A 24,199-nucleotide genomic window follows, 5' to 3' on the forward strand; every position below is an offset into this window, starting at 1 on the left:
GCATGCATTAGGTATTTGTCCTAATGCTCTCCCTCCCCTTTTCCCCGACCCCCAACAGGCCCTGGTGGGTGATGTTCCCTTCCCTGTGTCCACGTGTTCTCATTGTTCCATAAAAAAATAACTCATTATTTTTTTATGGCTGCATAATATTCCATGGTGTATATGTGCCACATTTTCTTTATCCAGTCTATCATTGATGGGCATTTGGGTTGGTTCCAAGTCTTTGCTATTGTAAATAGTGCTGCAATAAACATATGTGTGCATGTGTCTTTATAGTAGAATGATTTTTAATCCTTTGGGTATATACCCAGTAATGGGATGCTTGGTCAAATGGTATTTCTGGTTCTAGATCCTTGAGGAATTGCCACAGTCTTCCACAATGGTTGAACTAATTTATACTCCCATCAACAATGTAATTTACTTTCCTACCAACAGTCTGGAGCCTTGCCAGCATCTGTTTTTTTCTTTTTAATAGCCATTCTGACTGGTGGGAGATGGTATCTCATTGTGGTTTTGATTTACATTTATCTGATCATTAGAGATGCTGAGAATTTATCATATGTTTGTTGGCTGTTTGTATGTCTTCTTTTGAGAAGTGTCTGTTCATGTCTTTTGCCAATTTTTAATGGGTTATTTGTTTTTTGCTTGTTGAATTAAGTTCCTTATAGATTCTGGATATTAGGCCTTTATTGGATATATAGTTTATAAATATTTTCTCCTAATCTGTAGGTTGCCTATTTATTCTGTTGATAGTTTGTTTTGCTATGCAGAAGTTCCTTAGTTTAATTAGGTCTCACTTGTCACTTTTTTTTCAATTGCTTTTGAAGACTTATTCATAAATTCTTTTCCAAAGCCAGTGTCCAGAATGGTGTTTCCTAGGTTTTCTTCTAGGATCCTTATGTTTCTAGGTCTTATATTTAAATCTCTAACCCATCTTGAGTTGATTTTTATATATAGTGAAACATAAGTTTCCAGTTTCAATCTTCTGCATATGGCTAGCCAGTTATCGCAGCAACATTTATTGAATAGGGAGTTCTTTTCCCATTGCTTATTTTTGTCAACTTTGTCAAAGATCACATGGCTGTAGATGTGCAGCTTTATTTCCGGGCTCTCCATTCTGTTTCATTGGTCTGTGTTCTGTTTTTGTGCCAGTACCATGCTCTTTAGGTTACTGTTACCTTGTAGCACAGTTTGAAGTCAGATAATGTGATGCGCTGGCTTTGTTGTTTTTGCTTGGAATTACCTAGGTTATTTGGGCTCTTTTGTGAGCCCATATGAATTTTAGAATAGTGTTTTCTAGTTCTGTGGAAAATGATATTCAGAGCTTGACAGGCATAGTGTCGAATCTGCAGATAGCTTTAGGCAGTATGGCCATTTTAACAATATTGATACTTCTAACCCATGAGCTATTTTTACCACATTTACAATTACTTCATTTAAGTCTTGAACTCCTCCAAATTACCCAGGAGGGCTGAAATCAACTTCTTCCAAATTCATGTTAATGTTGACATTTTGGCTTCCTCTCAGCAATCATGAATGTTCTTAATGACATCTAGAATGGTGAATCATTTCCAGAAAGTTATGAATGTATTTTGCTCAGAACCATAAGAGGAATCATTATCTATGTCAGTTATAGCCTTATGAAATATATTTTTTTAAATAATAACACTTGAAAATCGAAATTTCTCCTTGATCCATGGGATGCAGGATAGATACTGTGCTAGCAGGCATCAAAACAACATTCATCTCCTTGTCCATGTCCATCGGAGTTCTTGGGTCTGTAGATACATTGTCAATGAGCAGTGATATTTTGAAAGGAATCTTGTTTTCTGACCAGTAGGTCTCAACAGTGGGTCTGATATCTTCAGTTAACCTTGTTGTAACCAGATGTGCTATCACCCAGGCTTTACTATCCTATTTATAGAGCACAGGCAGAATAGATTTAGCATCATTAGGAACCCTAGGATTTTTGAAATGGCAAATGAACAGTGGCCTCAAATTCATGTCACTAGCTGCATTATCCCCTAACAGGAGAGTCAGCCTATTATTCAAAGCTTCGAATTCAGACATTAACATCTTCTCTGTACCTATGAAAGTCCTAGGTGGCAGCTTCTTCCAATAGAAGGCTATTACTCCATTGAAAATCCATTGTTTGGTATAGCCACTTTCATCAGGTTTCTTAGCTAGATCTTCTGGATAATTTTTGCTCCTTTGACATCAGCACTTGCTGGTTTACTTTACACTTTTCTATTATGAAGACAACTTCTTTCCTTAAGCCTCTTAAATCAACCTCTGCTAGCATCCAACTTTTTTTCTGCAGATATATATATATATTTTTTTTCACCTCTCTCAGGCTTCATAGAGGTAACAGGAATTAGGGCCTTCCGCTGGGTTAGGCTTTGGCTTAAGAGAATGCTGTGGCTGGTTTGATTTTCTATCCAAACAAATCACTAAAACTTTCTTCACATAAGCAATAAGGTTGTTTTGCTTTCTTATCATTCATGTGTTTACCGGAGCAGCACTTTTAATTTCCTCAAGGACTTTTTCTTCACCTCTACAACTGGGCTGTTTGGTGCAAGAGGCCTGGTTTTTGGCCTGTCTTAGCTTTCAGTACGTCTTCCTCACTAAATCATTTCTAGTCTTTGATTTAAAGTGAGAGAGTTGTGACTATTCTTTTCACTTGAACACTTAAAAGGCCATTATAGGGTTATTAATTGGCCTCATTTCAATATTCTTGTGTCTCAGGGAATAGGGAGGCTCAAGGAGAGGGAGAGAGACAGGGGAATGGCCGGTCAGTGGAACGGTAAGAACACAGACATTTGTTGATTATGTTTGTTGTCCTTTATAGGTGTGGATCGTGGTGCCCCAAAACATTTACAATAGTAACATCAGAGGTCACTGATTACAGATCATCATCACAGATATAAGAGTAATGAAAAAGTTTGAGATAGTGCAAGAATGATCAAAATGTGACACAGAGACACACAGTGAATACATGCTGTTGGAAAAATGACGTGAACAGATTTTCTTAATGAAGGATTGCCACAAGCCTTCAATTTATAAAACATACAATACCTACAAAGCACAATAAAGTGAAGTTCAATAAGATGAGGTATGTTTGTATTTTAAAGTAAACAAAACAATACACAATCTTGCATATACATACTAAAAAATATACAAATATAAAAATGGAACATATCTTTAAGATAATGGTTGTCCTTGCAGAAAAATAAGGAATGAGACAGAAGAGAGATACCAAGAATCCTTGAAAAGTATCTGTAATAGGTTTTTATGCAGAAAAATCCAGAGAAAACGCAGAAAAATGACAAAATTCATAAATGATCTGTGCTGGGCACTTGGCTGTTTTAATGCATGACATTTCTGTGTGTTTGAAGTATTTTATAGTGATATTTCAAAGCTCTAGAGTTATTCTTTTGTGCTATTAGGTTTGGGAATGGACAGAATAGATGACTCTCTGTCACCTTCCAGTTCGACTTTTGGCCAAGTCGATACATTACTTGAAAAGCGCCTTGATGAAGCTTATGTATACCCAAGCCTCTTTGTGTTTCTGGAGAAGTTAATAAGAATTGGGCCACAAAACTGCTGAAGACTTGAAGGGAGCAGTTTAATCTTGGGCTGTCATATTGAGTAAGTGGCTTCTGTTCCAGCCATCTGTTCTAGTCATAGTGCACCACATCCCATCCTGTATGCTTGGCAGGGTCTCATTCCCATCATTATCCCTCAAAGAGCTCTAGACTGGAATTTTAAAAATTTCACATTGACACGTGGGGGAAATTGTTGACAGGAGAAAGGCTCTAGATGACATGTTTTCACCCCTGGTGTTTTTCATGGGAGAGGGAAGGGGTGTGTAAAAGTATAATTAGACGATTCTTCAGAGTTTTGTCCAATGGAGCTCTGTGGGTAGCTCCCCCCGCAACCCCAGCAGAACTATCACCCATTTCTTGCCAATGTGTTCTTTTCAATTACTCTTAATATCCCATCCAGAATTAGAGATGGAAGAAATAACTGGGTCAGCTCATCTTTGCTTTGCCAATGCAGGTGTTTTCTAACATGTTTTCTGTGGTGGTGCCCAGTTGTTAATAACATGCCTGTGCACAGTGCAATTATTTTGATGGTAGAGAGAAGATGATAAACGGAGCCTGTTCTGTGCTACAAGGACCGTTTCACCACAGCCCTTCTATGCAGCATCACTGGGGAAACTCGTTGATTTCCACATCTGCATTGAAAACCCTTGACTGAAACTCCCTTGCAAATCAGGAGTGAGAAGAAACGGAATGTTTTGGGTAACAAGTGAAGCTTCATGTCACCTTGTTTTTAATGTCTTAGTTCTAGCCAGATATGGTCTAGCCACAGGACGCGTATAATCATATAGTCTTAGATATTTCAGGACAGCTTTTGTTAGGCAGGATCTGTCCTGTGGTCCTTATAGCACTCAGCAGATGATGGTCACTGTAACTATAATTCCTTCAGCAACTGAACCAGCCTCTTTCGGCTATGAGTTGTGTGGCTCTTAGCACCTGTACTTATTTTTATTGTGGCATATATTATTTTGTGTTGTAATGACTGTTTGTCTCTCCCGCTATATAGAGCCCTGTGAGTATAAAGATTGTATACTTGTCCTTCTTTCCTCAGGATCCCAGCATAGTATGTGGTACATAATTTGTATTTTGTGAATATTTTTGAATGGATCAATTAATCTTGATCTTAGGTCCTCATGAAAGAGAGGTGGTTATGATGCCTGAATTGTAGGGGTTCCATGGTTAGGTGGCATAGTTAGTACCGGCAAGTTACTTAAGACAATATACAAATTTCATTAGTCACCTTTTCATTCAGTAAGACTTTGAGTGTTTTTGAGCCAGGAAGGCAAGATGTTAGAGGTCATGCAGAGTCCAAGAGAGAAGATATATTCCCTGCCCCACAGGAGCAGAGGAAATAAGAGAGAACTCAAATAATTAGAGTAATGAGATAGGATGCTAATTAGGAATGTTGACAAAAACATTTAAATGGGCTAGAAGTTGACAGTACTTTTGGCTAGTTTAAAATAAATTGGTACTGTCTGGTTAGGAGAAACCTCTTCTGTTGGAGTTTTAGGGAGACAATAAGTAGTATCCCTTTTCCCCTGTTCCCAGTTTGAAAAAAATTTTTAATATGTGTCTCCTGAGAACAAGAACACTTTGCTATATGGCTACAACACAATTATTGAACCCGAGAAATTTAAAATGGATTCTAGGCTGTTTCAGTAGACAGAGCTGGGAAAAAAAGGTGTATTTCCCTCTAATTAAAAATCTCATCTAGTTCTTCCTCACTCTCTCATGTTCTATATTCACATCTCCCTTCTCCTTTTTGATAACTTTTTAAATCAATACATTTGTGAATTTTTTCTATCTTTAAATACATGCAAGTGGTTTCAGGATTATAACACTAATATCACTACCAATAACAAACCTACTGAACAAAGTTCAAGATTTTTTGGCAGTTCTTTTGGCTCTTAAAATATGTCCCATGAAGTGTATGTAATCAGATGGTTGTGCTAAAACATTATGTGAATTATTTTTTGTTTTCTGTGTGGCACTGATATCAAGTTGATATACAATTATATTAATTTGTTTCTTTTTACATTACATTTTAGGATTTTCTATCTCGTTTAATTTTGAAAATGAAAAACAGCTGCACGTTTCAAGTCAAAACTACACAAAAGATGTATTCAGAGAAGTCTCTCTGCCATCTTTTTTCTTTCTACCTCCATTTCTACCCTTCCCATAGATAACTTTTTATTAGGTTCTAGGTAATCTTTATGTTTATGATAAATGAAGTAAATATGGGTCTATTCTTCCCCTTCATTCTCATGCAAGAAGTAGCATGCTAAATAATTCTTTGGAACTTTGATTTTGAAAATTAACAATACATCCTGGAAGTTATTGCATATCACTCTATAGAAAGTGTTCTCATTCTTTCTGTTAATGGCTACACATTACTCTGGTGTGTGGACATACCACAAGTACATGACTCATCTACAGTTGGCCATTTGGACTGTTTCTAACAAACAACTCAGCAATGAATAACTTCTGCATATGCTGTTTCTTATTTGTAGAGGTGGTTTCTCAAGGTAAATTCTAGAAGGGGGATTTCTGGGTAATAAATTAGCCACTTGCATTCTGAGTCAGTTTGAAACAGAGAAGTCAGGCAGATGGAGAGGAAAATGTCGGCTTTCTTACCCCTAGATCATTTGGAAAAGGTGGCTCAGATGCTTCCTATACTAAATCCCTGGAGCAGTCTTAACCACCCAGTGCAGGCCATTCTAGAAAACTGTGGGCAGACTCTCAATGGGCAGAGCCACTACTGCTAAGCTTATGGCCTTGCCCATGGGAGACCAAAGTGCTTCCACTCTGCAGGAAGGCAGATGCCAAGGGATAGCAAAGAGATGGAGCCATGATGTATAAGTATCCCAACTCCACCAGTCAGAGAAATCTCTCCTCCTCCCATGGGGAGAAAAAAGTAAGGGGCAGAGAGAGGCCAGGAGTGTTACTCTAACTTATGTCCCTCTATGTGGAAACATGAAGATGAAGGAAAATGTTCCCCCTTTCCTCAAAGCCCTGTAGCTACTAGCATCAGGCTCTTTAGTGGACTCTGGTGGAGTGGGTGAGGGCTAGGAACATCTGAAGAGTGAATAAAAATGAAAGAGTAAAACCTAGAAACCTTGGAGACTGTGAATCACATATTCAGTTGAATGGCCTAAAAAACTGTACCAGATTCCCTCTGCTTGGTATAATTTAAAATTAAAATTAAGTTTAAAAAATAATTTAAAATGTAAATTAAAAATTCTGGGACCTCTTTGCCATGATAGAACATGTAGGGAGGGGATGGGATGCGCCGTGTGGACACGGCTGTGCTGGAGGTTGTGTTCGCTGCTCTCACACCATGTGGTTAGTGGGATGTCAGGGAGTATCATTGTGTTATACATTTGGTTCTGCTGAAAATGACCTATTTTTATTTTTACTATAGTCATACCACTATAGGTGGGGTGACCATAAGAGACGGAGAGGCGCATATCATTCTTCTCATCTATAAAGTGTCGTGGAGGCATTTGGATTAGGAGGGGTGCATTTTTTATTTAAATTTTCCAGAGTCTGTTTGACCAATAGCTATGCTTTTAAATGCTTTGTGTAAAAGGAGAGCAGTGCGTTGAGTTGTCAATCTGGTAAATTTAAGAACATCAGACTCAAAAAAAATTAAAGAAAATATTTCCATGTTTCTCTTAGAATATTAAAAATTAAACATGTTCAATCACGTTTCACTGCAAGCATAAAGAATTTATACTCAGAACCTGATGGGAAGATTTTGGATTTCTGTGAAGTTTCATTTATTTTGAAATGTATAATTTTTTTTCTACTTACATTGTGATAGTTGAAACCCTAGAGAAATGTTTAATAGAGAAGGTGTGAATTCTTCACAGTCTTAGACCTCAGAGATAATCTTTTATATATTTTGGTATAGAGCTTTCCAGTATTTTCCCCTTTCTATCTCTGTGATAGCATGTTTTGCACTTTGTGCAGGGAAAATTCAATTATATTGTATTGCAACTCATTTTTTTTTCAGTCACCATATCCTGGATACTTTTGTAGCAGATATACACAGTCTATGAGCCTAGACCACCTCCCTTCTCCCTGAAGCTCCCTTGCATGCTCCCTGTCCTAACTTACATCGGTGCTAGGCGACTCCTTATGTTTTTATATAACCTCCCCCGCAGAAAGAGTTGACTGGTTCAAGCTGTGTGAGTCAACATCTTTCCCTGGCATATTAGAAACCGAAATGAGAGGAATATGTTTCCCTTTGAAGATGATATGAGGATATTTGGCTTAGGTACTCTCAATAGGGAGGAAGCCAACATAAAGCCAATGGCAGAAACACAAAGTGGGTGCTGGCAAGGTGAGTCCCAGTAGCGTCTTAGCCGCTGGATTGAGCTGTTCTTTTCTCAGTTTGGTTGATCAGTCACATTCTACTTCCTTAATTTGGAGGAGCCAGTAGCTTTTCTTTTTTTCCTCCTAACCTAGTTTGAATTATATTTCTTGCTGGTTATATTCAAAAGAGTATTAATACATCTTGCTATGCTAATGTATCAATATTGTCCATTTTTATTGGGTGGCTTATAGTTTATTAATATGTGAACTCGTATTTTAAAACTCTTCTATTTATAATCATTTGCATTATTTTGAAGCTTTGACTTTAGACAACGCGGCAATGAGCATTCTTTTATATTTGCACAGCTGTTGAATATCTCTAGGGAAAAATCATAGCAGAAAAACAGAAAAGGCTTAGATGTTTTAAATTTTAGTAGATTATATCCAACTACTGTCTCCCAAATTGTACCAATATTTCCCAAGATAGTGGCAGATAGTGTGGATATCCTTACAGCTAGATGTTGCCAATAGTTTAAATCTTTGCAAATGCAATAGGAGAACAATAATTTCTAGTTTTAACTTGCATTTTAAAATTATTCCTGTGCAGGAGCACCTTTAATATATTTATTACATGCTGTAGGACAAAGATGAGTATTACACTGGAGTTCTTGTTGGAAATAATACAAATCAGATGAGAGTGGAACACTATGTGAAAAATGCTAAAAGAAAAACTATCAACTGAGAATTCTACACCTACTGAAACCATTCTTCAAAAATGGAGGTGAAATAAAGGCTTTTGTTGACATAAGAAAGTTGAAAGAATTCATTATCCTCAGAGCTCTACTATCAGAAATGCTGCAGAAAGTCCTATGGGAAGAAGGAAAATGACAGCAGAGGGAAATCTGGATCTACACAAAGGAATGAAGAGCCCCCCCTAAAAGTAACTGCATAGATAGGTATAAAATACTTTGAAAAATTAATTATTCATATCTCTTTAGAAGATACTTGTGGGCTTTCCTGATATCTATTATTGTTTCTAAACAATAAATTGTTTAAAGCAAAAAATAATAATTACATTGTGGGATTCTAACATGTAGAATTAAAATATATGACAATAATCATACAAATGTCATAAATATGATAATAGTACAAATGTCATAAAAGAGGAAATAGAAATATACTATTATAAGATTCTTATGCTATATGCAAAGCAGTATAATATCATTTGAACACAGACTGTGATGAGTAAAACATGCATACCATATGCCCTGGAGCAATCTCTAAAATGATGTCAAAAGGATTAGAGCTAAAAAGCCAACAAAGCGGAAAAATTGGAGCCGTAAAAATACTCCATTAGTTCAAAAGAAGACAGGAAAAAAGGAGCAAAGAACAGATGTGACAGAAAATAAATGGCAAGATAATAGATTTAAACTAAGCGATATCAATAGTCACATTACATGTTCTTAGTCTAAACACTAATCAAAAAGCAGAGAATGTCATATTGGATAAAAATGGAAGATCAAGCTATATGGAAACTCACTTTAAATACAAATATATGTTAGTAAAAGAATGAGAATATATATAATGTTAATATTAATCAAAAGAAAGTTAAAGTGGTAATATTATATCACATAAATTAGATTTTATAGCAAAGAATATTACCAGGGATGAAAAGGACAATTTCATAATGATAAAATTGAGAGAACATAACAATCCTAAATAATTATGCAATTAATAACAGATTTTCGAATTATCTGAAGCAACAACTGAAATAATTACAAGGAGAAAGAGATATTTACACGATTGCAATCACAGATTTAAAAACCATTCTATTAATAACCAGTAGAATAAGTAGACAGAAAATTAAGTGGAATATGAATTACTTGAACAACACTATCAGCCAACTGGACTTAATCAACATCTATAGAATACTTAATCAGACAAAAGTAGAATACACATTCTTGTCAAGGGTATACAGAACATTTACCAAAATAGACTAAATTCTAGACCATAACATAAGTCTGAATAAATTTTAAAGGACTCATAAAATATGGTTTCTGAATGTAATGGAATTATGTTAGAAACAATAATAGAAAGATATCAGGAAAGTCCACAAGTATCTGGAAACTAAATAAACCCCATCTGAAAAACTCATGTATCAAAAAAGAAATTTATACTTTAAATTGAATAAAAATATAAATGCAACATATCATTATCAGTGGGATGCAGCTAAAACAGTATTTGGAGGAACGTCTATAGCACTAAATAGCCTATAGTAAAAAGAAGAAAGATTTCAACTAAGTGCTATAAATTTCCAACTTAAGAAACTAGAAAAATAGCAGCAAATTAAACCCAGAGTAAGTTTATGACGTGAAATAATAAGGATCAGAACAGAACTCAATTAAATAGGAAAAATTAAGAAAAACAATATAACACAAATTTCATTCTTTAAGAAGATTAATAAAATTGATAAACCTCTAGTCAGACTGGTCAGGAATAAAACATAGGAGGTAAAAATGATCAATATTCAGAAAATTAGAGAGGTGACATTACTTCTAATTCTACAGATACTAAAAGGATAACATGGAAATATTTGAATGACTTTAAGCCAATAAATTTGATGATTTAAGTGAAATGGGAAAATTTCTTGAATGGCCAAAACTCTCAAATCTCACTCAGAAAGAAACTGAATTTGAATAGCTCTATATCTATCTAACGATTTGAATTTATAGTTAAAAGCCTTCCCACAAAGCAAACCCAGGCCAAATGTCTTCGCTGGTGAATTCTCCCAAACATTTAAGGAAGAAATAATGTCACAGCTATGCAAACACTTCCAGAAAATTAAACAGGATAAAATACTTTCCAACTCTGTAATTTCCAAAATACTTACAGACTAATGTGTCTTATGAAAAATAGATGCAAAAATTCTCAACAAAATGTTAGCAATTTGAATTCAACAATATATAATTAGGATAGTACAGCATGACCAAGTAAGGTTTGGTTTGGAGATGCAAGGTTGATTTTACATTTGAGAACAAATTGATGTAATTTACCATATTAACAGACTAAAAAAGAAAAAGCCCTAAGAGCTCAATAGATGCAGAAAAAACATTTGAAAAAAATTCAACATTCATTACTGTTAGAAACTTTCAGCAAATTAGGAACAGAAGAGACCTTCTTCAAGTTGATAAAAGTCATTTACCAAAAACCCATAGCCAACATCATATTTAATCATGAAATATCAAATGCAGTATTCCTCAGATAAGAAACAAAACAAGAATGCCTGTTTTTTTACCACTTCTATTCAACTGGCCAGTTGATAAGGCACACTTTCTCTCTCTTACCCCTGCCAAAAAAAAGGGCATCCAGACTGGAATGAAAGAGGTAAAATTATCTTTATTCGCTCATGACATATTTATGTAGAAAAATTGATGGCATCTGCAAACATATTTTTAGCACTAATAAGTGAGGCTGGCAAGGTTGCAGGATACAAGATCAACATACAGAAAAAAATTGTAGTACTATAAACTAGCAACAAACAGAAATTTAAAGGAAAACAGTGCCATTTTCAATAGTATACAAATATGAAATACTTCGGGATAAATCTGACAAAAATGTATAAGATCTGTACAATAAAAACCATGCTGAGAGAAATTATAAAAGACATAAATAAATGGAAATTTTACTGTGTTCACATAATAATTTTGAGAAGAACCAATATTATTCAGATGTCAGTTATTCCCCAAGTGACCTAGAGTTAATGCAATTGCAATTAAAACTCCATTAGGCATTTGTGTTTTTTTGGTAGACCTTGATAACTTGATTCAACACAATCCCAATTAAAATGTCAGTAGGCTTTTTTTCCCTAGAACTAATGTGTGGGCCTCAAATTCATTCAGAGATGCAAGATATCTACTATAATTAAAACAGCATTATTATATTAAAGAAAATAGTTGGAGGACTTATACTACCTGAGTTCAAGACTTATATTAAAGCTATAGTAATTAAGACAGTATGATATTGGCATCAAAATGGACAAGTAGTCAATGCAACAGAGTCCAGTAATGACCCAGGTACATGTAGTTAATTTATTTTTGACAAAGGTATAAAGGCAATTAAGTCTAGGAAAGACATTCTTTTTCAACAAATGCTATTGAAATAATTGTAACTTCTATTTTAAAAATTAATTTTTATTCCTATCTTATACCTGTATAAAATTAACTCAATATGTATCATAGGTCTAAATGTAAAAGTTTAAATTTTAAATTATAAAACTTCTAGAAGAATATATAGGAGAAAATATTTGTGACCTTGGATAGGGCAAGAATTTCTTAGAAATGATACCAAAAGCACAGTTCATTAAAAAAGATAAATTAGACTTTGTCAAAATTAAGACCATCTGCTCTTTGGTAGATACTCAAGAGAGTGAAAATACAAGCTACTGATTGAGAAAATATTTGCAAATAAATACATCTGATAAAAGATATATGTCCAGGATATGTTATTAAAACTAATAAAACTCAATAACAACAACAAAAATGTCTGATAAAAAATGGGCAAAAGATTTGAATAGATATTTCACTGAAGAAAATATATGAATGGCAAATAGGCATATGAATAGACTCTTAACATTATTATCACTCAGTTAAATGCAAATTAAAGCTACAATGAGATGCTAATATCCAAAGATTTTTTTTAAAACCGATCTTATCAAATGTTGGCAAGGATGTAGAGCAACTGGAACTCTGATACACTGTTGTCAAGAATGTGAAATGGTACAACTACTTTGGAAAATAGTTTAGTAATTCCTTAAAAGTTAATCATATACTTGTGATCCAGGAATTTCCCCAAGGGAAATGAAAACATCTGTTCATACAAAGGCTTGTACGCAAATATTTATAGCAACTTTATTTGTCACAGCCGAAAGCCAGAAACAATCAATGACAATTAACAGATAAGTGAATAATTATGATATATTCATATAATGGAATAAGAGTCACCAACACAAGTAATGAACTATTGATGTATGAAACAACATGAATGAATCTCAAAATAATTAGGCTGAGTGATAGAAGCTCGACAAAAAAATTAGCATGATACTTTGTCTTTGTTTCTGCTGCCTTAACAAAAATACCATAAACTGGGTAGTTTATAAATAGCAGAAATTTCTTACAGTTCTGAAGGCTAGAAGTCTCAGATCAGGGTGCCAGTGTCATAGGGCTCTTGTGAGGGCCCCATTCCAGATTGCAGACTGCTGGCTTCTCACTGTAACCTCACAGAATGGAAGGGATGAGTTAGCTCTCTGGGGTCTCTTGTATAATGGGTGCTGATCCCATTAATTAGGTCTCTGCTTCATGACCTTGTCGGCTCTCAAAGGCTCTACCTCCTAATACCATCAACTTGGAGGTTAGGATTTCAACATACGAATTTGGGAGTGGGGGCGCACAAACATTCAATCCATAGCAGTATGAGTCTCTTCATATAAATTTCTAGAAAATGAAAACTAATCTGTAGTAACAGAAAGCAGATCAGTGGCTTGAGGGAGTGTGGGTGAGTAGGGGATGGCAGATGGAGCAGAATAGAGGGAGGGATTATAAACGGATACAAGGAACCTTTTGCCATGTGGGATAGATAAATTATCTCGATTGCGTTGTTGGTTTCATGGGGTATACAAAGCTTATGAAAATGAACTTTTTAAGTATGTGTGGTTTATTGTATGTCTTATACCTCAGTAGAAAGGTTCACAGAAATGATGCCAAAGAAACCATCATTCACCACTGGTGCAGTGCTCTAGAACATGGGCATTGGAGGTGGACATGCCTGGGTTCAAACCCAATCCTGCACCTTGGACACTACTTTTTTCTGTAAGTCTCTTTCTTCATTATAGAGGCTCAGACTGTTGAATTAATATTATATTCTGCATACAAAATGGGGATAATAATGCCTCTCCAACAGGGTTGTGGTGAGGATCAGATGCACTAACATGTATAAATTGTGTGCATCATAGTAACTACTCAATCATCAGTCCTTTTTATTATTATTAGCACATATTTGGAAAATGAAGGGATAGTTCTTATGAAATGTGCTTTTGGCTCAATGGGAGACTAGTTCAGTGTGTCAGATGCAAATGAAAAGACCCATGAGGTTGGTTTCTCACTTTAAGTGATCTTGCCACATTCTGAAATTGAGCCTCCTCACTTCTGCTCAGCAACAAGAATGCAAATGTGCCCTGAAGCCTTGTTTGCAGAAAATATGACATTATTCTTACACCAGGCAGGAACCATTCCCTTTGGAATCTCTGCATTGCTGCATCTGTCTCTAAGATTTCAGGAACAAGCATCTCTCTGTGGTTAATTCCAGTCAGTTGAAAATAAGGCCAGCTTCTAGAGACTAGGCTGGGGACCACGATTCCCCCATTGCACTAATCCTGCCTTGTTCCAAAAGCAACTTCCTGTAAGAATGGGTTTGTCGATTTGTGAAAGCATTTAATACAGAGAGATGCCTATTAGTTTAAGCCTGACTTACTGAGTCCTCGCGAAGCCTGCCTGTACTTTTACAAAAGTTTTAGAAATTACAGTGCTCGGGATGGTGCTTTGACGTTGTGCTGGATTTGTAGGAATGATGGTAACATCATTGAATAATATTTATCTTGGGTATGTTGTAATCAGATTTTGATCCTAATGCCAAACTGCTATAGAGGAGGGGGTAAACCCTTATTGTTTTTATGACTGATGGGGCTATCTTTGCATTGTTGTTTACAAATTGTTCTATAATATAATGCCTTCAATCAGAGTATTTTTAAGAGAAATCAGCAGAATTTTGTAATACCCCCATCAATTGGCACTTTTGTGTTATTTTTCACAGATAATTGAGCCAGTGGCACATATGAGAGACTTCTTAGTCCACATCAAGGTGGCAATGATTTGACTGTGTCAGTTACAAGGAGACTTTGTGCTCTCTGGGATGACTAGGCTGAGGGCCCTGTGAGAATAAGAACTAAGCTTGACTGTTTATGATCATATCCATAGCAACAAGCCCAGAGCTTGCCTCTTTCTCAGCACTAAATCAATATCTGTTCAGTGGCTGATTGATTGCTGAAGAGTGCTACTCTCTCTCAACTATTAGAAAAAACCCCTATCTCTGTATCATCTGTCTGTCCACCCATCTATTATACTCCTTCCTCTCTTAAAAATACTTTTCCTGTATTCATAAATTTAATTCTAATAACTCTATGAGAGAGACTATTATTATCCACTTTTTACAGACAAGGAAACTGAGACACAGAGAGGTTAAGCAATTGCCTGAGGTCCCACAGCTGGCGAGTTATGGAGCTTGTGTAACCTTATTTTCTATGCCTTAATCACATGATTTTTACAAGGACAGCCTGTTCTGTAAGTCCAGGTCTTTTCAATGTGGGAAAAATTGGAAAAGGATAGATTTTATCTTTTGTACTTTTCCTAACCTTATGATTCTAATCCAAGTTGAAGACAGAAATGGTGAAGGCCCAAATAAATTCAACTGTGTGTGTATGCGTGTGTGTATATATGCATGTGTGCTTGTGTGTGTATGCATGTGAATATATATGCATGTGTGTGTATACGTGTGTGTATATATGCATGTGTGCTTGTGTGTGTATGCATGTGTATATATGCATGTGTGCTTGTGTGTATACATGTGTGTATATATGCATGTGTGTATGCATGTGTGTGTATGCATGTGTGCTTGTGTGTGTATATGTGTGTGTATATATGCATGTGTGCTTGTGTGTGTATGCACAAGGGCACATGTGTGTGCCTTGCCTGGGCATAATGGAGAGAGGGCAGAGAGAACCAGCAACAGCAACCTCAGAATCCCAGTGAGAATTCGTAATGACTCTGTCTGGAAGCACAAGAATAAGACCTTTCTGACATTTAAAAAATTCTGTGCACGTATTTTAGGTGATGGCATTCCCCTGAAGAAGATTAAAATATGACATAGCTGAAAATTCTCTTAAAGCTGAGAAAAAGTAGTTAACATTTAATAACAAATTTTGACCCTTGAGCGTTAAAAGTATCTATCAGTGACTATACATACTCAATCCGATTTTGCTTTTCTGTAGCATTAATCATGGTGATATTTGGATTTTAAGGAAAAATAATTAGGAGAAAAGCAGAATTGGGGGCCCTCATCCATGTTCTACTTTCTAAAACTCCTGTGGGTAAATTTTCCTTAAGAAAGGTGGTTTGGTCTTGCTGATGGCATAATTTCAATAATGAATAATTCAGAGAAGCAGGCAGTGAGTGTTAGCTGAAGACAGGAAACGTATCTTTGAATTCCTCTTCATTTTATGGGCCTTTGGAAGCAGCCACCTATCTATACAAGGCTCTCTAAGGGAAAAATGGGCACCATTCTTAGGCTAATGGGAAATAATGGTGTGATCAGTGAAGCTCTTTTCTTGGAAGCCTGCAATAGAGCTTAGCCATCTGAACCTCTCTGCTTCACTGCTCTGGTATCTGGACTATTATCAAAGAAGGGGTATCGAAACGGTAGAATTTTACAGGGGAAATCAGCAATCCACCTGAAGCAGTGCTGGTCTCTGGTGTGTGGATCTAGAAGGAACACAAAACTGAAAACTGATAAGGTGTCATTTCATCCAGCAGACCGTGTAAGTGAAAATTTTGGCTTGCTCTGCTGTTTTCCAGTTTCTCCATGTCCAGGATGAAAATACTTTTGCCTTCTGGATTCTGAAACTGTTATGCATCTGTGCTCGCTGGAGGAGAGCTGATGGGGGATTGTGTGTCATCAGTCAAGAGGCTTAACCATCCTCTCTATTAATTAGGGGACAGAACACTGCTTCTATTTAACTGCCCCCTACCCCAGTTGGTGCAACACCCTTTTCAAGTGTTTTCCTTGCACTTTGTTGAACACACACATAGGAGCGGATCTACCTATGCACAGGTGGATGTGTAGAAGTGAGTCAGGTGAACCAGCATCTTTCTTTCCGCATGCCCACTGCCTCCACCTTTGCTAGCAAGTCCCTGATGACTTGGCAGGGGCTTTTGACCATGTCGTGGGTAATAGTGGGGGGACATCCTAGCTCAAACACAAACTCTCCAGCCTCCCAGAACTACAGTTGGGCAGTACCAATCATCCTGAAATACCCCTATTGCTCCATCCTTCTGACAAACCAGTGTGAGGTCTTCGGTATTTTTCAAGTCTCAATGATATATCTTTGACTTGAGGCACCATGGTAATGGAAAGCAATTTCCATTCTTCCCAGGAACAACCCCCATGCCATCTCTTCATCCACTAGTCTGGCCCAGCAGGCCAGTTTCCTTATTGACTTTATTTCTATCCCTGCTAAGCCACATCTTCCTCATATACTGAATTTCATATATCACCTAAATTGTTGGTGATTTTAATTTTCTTCTTTATGCTTTGTGTAATGTAAGAGTGTTTTCCAATAAGACATTTATAATCAGAACTTCCTCCAAATTCTCCAAATACTAACCACCAAGTACATCCTACCTGTCTTCTATGATTTAACCCAACTTCCGTTTCCACTATGAATCATTCCCTTTCTTGGTGACCAACTGGGTTTTGTATTCCATACCTACTGTAACACCCATTTATTCATTCATTCCTCCATTTGCAGCAATTATTTACCAAGTGCCTGCTATGAGCTGGGCCCTGTTCCAGAACACTCTTTGGCATACATTGTTTACATTTCTGCCTCTTCCCTTGTAGGTCTTGAGTTCCATGTGAAGTATACATTTTTGCAGACTGTGATGGTTAATTTTGTGTTAACTTGACTGGTTTAAGAATGTCTAGATAGCTGGCAAACTATTATTTCTGGGTGTGTCTGTGAGGGCGTTTCTGGAAGAGATCAGCATTGGAATCAATAGACTGGGTGAAGGAGATCTGCCTTCAGCAACATGGGTAGGCATCATCCAGTTGGTTGGGGGCCCAGAGAGAACAAAAAGGCAGAGAAAGGGTGAACTCTCTCTCTTCCTGAGCTGCAATACCTATCTTCTGTCCTCAGAAGCTGGCACTCCTAGTTCTTGGCCTTCAGACTTTACCCCCAGATTCCTCCACAACCCCCGTGTGTTTTTCAGGCCTTTGTTCTCAGTCTGGGAGATACACCATCAGATCCGTTGGTTCTCAGGCCTTTGTGCTTAGATGGAATTATACCACCAGGTTTCTTAGTTCCAGCTTACAGACTGTAGGGCTTCTCAGCATTTATAACCATGAGAGCCAATTCCCGTAATTAATAAATGTCCTCTTCTATATTGATGTATATCCTATTGGTTCTGTTTACCTAGAGAATATTGACATACATAGACTGAATCTCTCTCTCTCTCTTTTTTTTTTTTTGAGATGAAGTTTCACACTTGTCACCCAGGCTGGAGTGCAGTGGTGCAACATTGGCTCACTTCAATCTCCACCTCCTTGGTTCAACTGATTCTCCCACCTCAGCCTCCCAAATAGCTGGGATTACAGGTACCTGCCACCACACCCAGCTAATTTTTGTATTTTAGTAGAGACAGGGTTTCACCATGTTGGCCAGCCTGGTCTTGAACTCCTGACCTCAGGTGATCTGCCTGCCTTGGCCTCCCAAAGTGCTGGGATTACAGGCGTGAGCCATCACGCCCGACACACAGACTGAATCTCTTACAGCTATGCTGATGCATAGATACGAGTTGACTACTCAGCAGGAGAAAACATTTTCTAGGAGAAGAAAATATTTATAGCTGGTCATGAAGGTGGCATGCTGATCTGCTGTACAACAACATGACAATCTAATTGCTTTGTGGTTGGTATAAAGTATTATGCTCGAGACATCCATCTGAATTTTGGTTTCTCTGCCTAGATGTTTTCATATCACGTCGAGGTCGGAATAGCCAGAATAGCCATCGAGTCCCTGGTCAAAGGGCCAGCTGATGGGACTTTGATGTGGCTGTGGGTGAAAGTCAAGCTTTTAAGTACAGTTAGGGATCTCACCCAGACCCAGATTCAGCTCTGACCTCTGGTAGATGAGGACAGGGAATGGAGGTTATTTATGGGAAGAATGAGAAATTCAGTTGGCCATACCATGGTGCCTCAGGTCAACAGAGAGCTAGTGCATTGCTGGATGGATGGCGCAAAGGGCGTAGGAGGCCTCCTGACCAGCCTGCACCATTTGGGGCTTAGGAAGGCTGAGCACTGTCATTAGAACCCAACCGAAGAGGACTGGCCAAGGTCTCAAGACCCTCCTTTTGACTGTGATAGCTCTGGCTTTACCTCTTTCTCATCCTGCATGCTTCATCCTCCCCAGACCTACTGATTTGGTTCTTGAGCTCTGTGGTCTCATCAGCTAACATGCTACTTGTCCTCTATTCTCTTCCCTCTGCCCCACTCCATCCTCATCTTACCTTCCTTCCTGTCCCTTCAGATATTTACTGGGAATCTGCTCAGGCTATGAGAAGCCCACTATGGATTGCTTTATCTATTTACTATACAGGCATTGAGGACTAACATCTATTCACCATGGGTCAGACATTGGGACTAACACATCCAGAGGATGTGAGATGGGAGAGAACAGCAAATTCGAAGGCCTGAAAGGGGTCCAGACTGGCTAAGCACAGAGTAGGAAGAGAGCAGTGGCAAGAAATGATGCAGGAGGTATGGGCTGCAGCCAGGCCATTAAGAGTCTTGTGAGACATTTTGCACTTTGGTTTAAGAGCCAGGAAAGCCATTGCAGCATTTAAGCTGAGGAGTGACATGGTCAGATTTGCATTTTATAAAGCTTGCTCTGCCTACAGCATGGACCATGGATTAGAGAGTGGCAAGAGTAGAGGCAGGGATCATTGAAGTGGCTGTTGCAGTGAGCAGCTGAGCCCAAAGGGAGGAAATGCAACAATTAAGAATATTTAGAGGAAGATAGTGTGGCGAGTCCCCAGAGACCTAGAACCAGAAATACCATTTGACCCAACAATCCCATTACTGGGTATATACCCAAAGGAATATAAACCATTCTGTTATAAAGATACATGCACGCACATGTTCACTGCAGCACTATTCACAATAGCAAAGACATGGAATCAACCCAAATGCCCACCAATGACAGACTGGATAAGGAAAATGTGGTACATATACACCATGCAGCCATAAAGAAAAAGATCATGTCCTTTGAAGGACATGGATGGAGCTGGAAGCCACTATCCTCAGCAAATTAACATAGGAACAGAAAACCAAACACCACATGTTCTCACTTATAAGTGGGAGTTGAACAATGAGAACACATGGACACAGGGAGGGGAACAACACACACTGGGGCCTGTCAGGGAGGTGGGGGGAGGAAGAGCATCAGGATAAATAGCTAAGGCTTGCAGGGCTTAATACCCAGGTGATGAATTTATAGGTGCAGCAAACCACCGTGGCACACGTTTACCTATGTAACAAACCTGCAGGTTCTGCACACATACCCCAGAACTTAAAATAAAATAAAGAATATTTAGAAGAGGAGCCCACTGCTTTTAGAGAATAATTATATGGGTGGCCCACATATGTGGGTAAAGCTTTTAAGTACCATCAGGCATCTCACCCAGACCCAGTTCCAAGGAGCAGGGGACAGTGGGAAAGGCCCCTACCTCCAAGGAGCTCATAGTCTAATATAAGTGATTCTTAGTTTCTGGGGTAGAATAAGAAACAGATGCCAAGACAGCCAATATGAATCTCTGGGGCAGAGGTAAGTGGTTAAAAACACGTTTTAAAAAATGCCAATTTTTAACACAATCTGTAGAAGGTGAAGTTCTGCAAAGTCTCGGTTAGTGATATTCGTAGAAAAGCATGCAGGAACAATGGGTTATAAGATGTGTCAGCCGGGTGCGGTGGCTCATGCCTGTAATCCCAGCACTTTGGGAGGCCAAGGTGGGTGGATCACCTGAGGTCAGGAGTTTGAGACCAGCCTGGCCAACACGGTGAAACCCCGTCTCTACTAAAATACAAAAATTAGCCTGGCATGGTGGCGGGCGCCTGTAATCCCAGCTACTTGGGAGGCTGAAGCACGAGAATCGCTTGAACCTGGGAGGTGGAGGTTGCAGTGAGCCGAGATCGTGCCACTGCACTCTAGCCTGGGCAACAAAGAGAAACTTTGTCTCAAAAAAAAAAAAAAGTGTCAATCCTGGCATGGAAGGGAAACAGAACATGATAACTGATTAGATGATGGGATCCATTTGCAGTTGGGACAAGGGGAAAATGCTATTTTGGAAACCTTAGCAGTTTATGACAAAAACAAAGCAATCTTTGGGAGAGATGTTCCCCTTGCTTTGGGGGTCCCTTTAGTGAGCCCGTTTGGTCATGCAGATGGAAGTTAAGGACCTGCCTCTTGCTATTGGGAGCACCTTTCTTATGTATATGAACTTGGGATTTTTGTAACCTTTAAAGAAAAGATAGTCAAGGCTTTCACATTCCTTGTGTGGCCAGAGATGGAAGCTTGAGTTGTCTTTAGGGCTCAAAGCTCCTCACCTTGGGGGAAATTATTATTTGATGCATTTGGCTGTACAAAAGACAAAACTATGGTCTGAGTTTGGAATGGGTAATGAGGCATCCCCTGCCTAAGGATGGTGACTCCATTGAGAGTACAGTGACTCTGCAGAGATTTTATCTCAAACAGATTTGGCCTCAGGGAGTAAGGAAATGATCACGGAGGTTTTTTCTTTTATTTATTTATTTATTTATTTATTTTTAATGGGGCCTATGAATTGACTCCAGAGACCTGACTGCTGCATTGGAGATAAGGGAAAGAGGGTCATTGAGGATCCCCGGTGAAATTATTTGGTCCACGGGGTTGTGATACCTGATTTCTTTCCAACTTATGCATTGACTTCTATTACGTGCTCCTTAAACTTTGGCAACAGGTCTGCATTTGCAGTTGGAGTAAAGTTTTTGCAACTAGAGACTGGGTAGATTGTAGAGAACTGGAGTAAAGTGGCAGAGCAGGTAAGAGGTGACCAGGTATGACAGGTGGGAAGCTGGGGGAGCAGGGCAAGGTGGAGCCATGGGATATGGATGCATTTCCCAAGTGTCCTTGGGAACACTTGTTGTAGCTTTGTGGGAGGGGGCTCAGGTCAGGATTACTTTGTTATTATAGAAAATTGAATGGTAAAAAGGAAGAGAGGGATAGGGAGAGATTTGTTAAGGATACAAAATTACAGCTAGATAAGGGGGATACGTTTTAGTGTTCTCTACCTCTGTAGGATGAATATATGTAGGTAACATATTATGTAGTTTCAAATAGCTAGAACAAGAATATCGAATGTTTGCAACACAAAGAAAGAAATGATGTTTGAGATGATGGATATGTTTTACTTATACTGATTGGCGATCAGATTAGTATATGTATCAAAACATCACTGTGTACCCCATAAATATGCCATTATTATGTCAGTTAAAAAATTAAGAAGTTAGATGCAAAAAAAAAAAGAGGAAAGACTGGTCTCTAGAGGGCTGTAAAACTTAGTTTGCAGCTGTTGTCACAGGGCTGCAAGGTGCCAAGAGGAAGAAGTACTGGCACTATATTAGTCTCCTCTGCCACAACAAAATACCATAGGCTGGGCAGCTAAACAGGAATTTCAGGCAAGAGAAAGAAATAAAAGGCATCCAAATTGGAAGAGAGGAAGTCAAACTATCTCTGTCTGCAGATGATATGATTCCATACCTAGAAAACCCCATAATCTCTACTAAAAAGTCCTAGATCTGATACACGACTTCAAAGTTTCAGGATACAAAAATTGGTAGCATTTCTATACACCACCAATGTCCAAGCTGAGAGTTAAGTCAAGAACACACTCCTATTCACAATAGCCACAAAAAAAATAAAATACCCAGGAATACAGCTAACCAGGGAGGTGAAAGATCTTTACATGGAGAGCGACAAAACACTGCTGAAAGAGTTTAGAGGCAACACAAGCAAATGGAAAAACATTCCACATTCATTGATAGGAAGAATCAATGTTATTAAAATGGCCATATCGCCCAAAGCAATGTACAGATTCAATGCTAGTCTTATCAAACTACCAATGACATTCTTCATAGAATTAGAAAAAGCTAATTCTAAAATTCATATGAAACCAAAGAAGAGCCAGAATAGCCAAAGCCATCCTAAGCAAAAAGAACCAAATCTGGCAGTATCACATTACCTGACTTCGATCTATACTTCAAGGCCACAGTAACCAAAATAGCATGGTACTGGTACAAAAACAGATGAATGGAACAGAACAGAGAGTCCAGAAAAAAATGCCGCACATCTACAACCATCTGATCTTCAACACAGTTGACAAAAAACCAAGCAATGAGGAAAAGACTCCACCACTTTTATTTATGGTGCTGGGATAACTGGCTATCCATATGCAGAAGATTAAAACTGGACCCGTTCCTTACATCACCTGCAAAAATCAACTTAAGATGGATTAAAGACTTACATGTAAAACCTAAACTATAAACACCCTGGAAGATAATCTAGTAAATACCATTCTGGACATAGGTCTTGGCAAAAATTTCATGACGAAGATGCCAAAGGGAATTGCAGCTAAACTGAAGATTGACAAATGGGATCTAATTAAACTAAGGAGCTTCTGCACAGCAAAAGAAACTATCAATGGATTAAACAGGCAACCTTACCTACAGAATGGGAGAAAATATTTGCAAACTATGCAACCAATGAAGGACTAATATCCAGAATCTATACAGAACTTAAATTACATGCAAAAAACAACCTCAATAAAAAGTGGGCAAAGGACATAAACACTTTTCAAAAGAAGACATACATATGGTCAATAAGCCTATGAAAATATGCTCAACAACACTAATCATTAGAGGAAGAGAAATCAAAACCACAATGAGATACCATCTCACAACAGTCAAAATGGCTATTATTAAAAAGTCGGGCTGGGTGTGTTCGCCCACGCCTGTAATCCCAAGCACTTTGAGAGGTCAAGGTGGGCGGATCACCTGAGGTCAGGGGTTTGAGGCCAACCTGGCCAACATAGCAAAACCCTGTCTCTACTAAAAATACAAAAATTAGCCAGGCATGGTGGCATGCGCCTGTAATCCCAGCTACTATGGAGGCTGAGGGAGGAGAATTGCTTGAACCCAGGAGGTGAAGCTGAGATCATGCCACTGCACTCCAGCCTGGGTGACAGAGCAAGACTCCGTCTCAAAAAAAAAAAAAAAAAAAAAGATGCTGACAAGGTTGTGGAGAAAAGTGAACACTTATACACTGTTGATGGGAGTGTAAATTTGTAAATTAATTCAACCATTGT

At 38.1% G+C, this 24,199-nt stretch overlaps 1 long non-coding RNA gene across 2 annotated transcripts in view, besides 1 other annotated feature; it reads left to right on the forward strand.

Moving 5' to 3' along the window:
* LOC105378515 (uncharacterized) overlaps positions 1–24,199 on the forward strand; it is a 164,918-nt gene that overhangs the window by 84,353 nt on the left and 56,366 nt on the right. The window lies entirely within an intron of this gene.
* Positions 21,005–21,574: an enhancer, noted in NCBI's record as "NANOG hESC enhancer chr10:122037489-122038058 (GRCh37/hg19 assembly coordinates)". NCBI's record gives its function as "activates a minimal SCP1, AML or CMV promoter by ChIP-STARR-seq in primed H9 embryonic stem cells {active_cell/tissue: H9 hESC(primed)}" and the evidence as "EXISTENCE:reporter gene assay evidence [ECO:0000049][PMID:30033119]".

The sequence above is a fragment of the Homo sapiens genome, chromosome 10, assembly GCF_000001405.40.
Source record: "Homo sapiens chromosome 10, GRCh38.p14 Primary Assembly".
Classification (NCBI taxonomy): domain Eukaryota; kingdom Metazoa; phylum Chordata; class Mammalia; order Primates; family Hominidae; genus Homo; species Homo sapiens.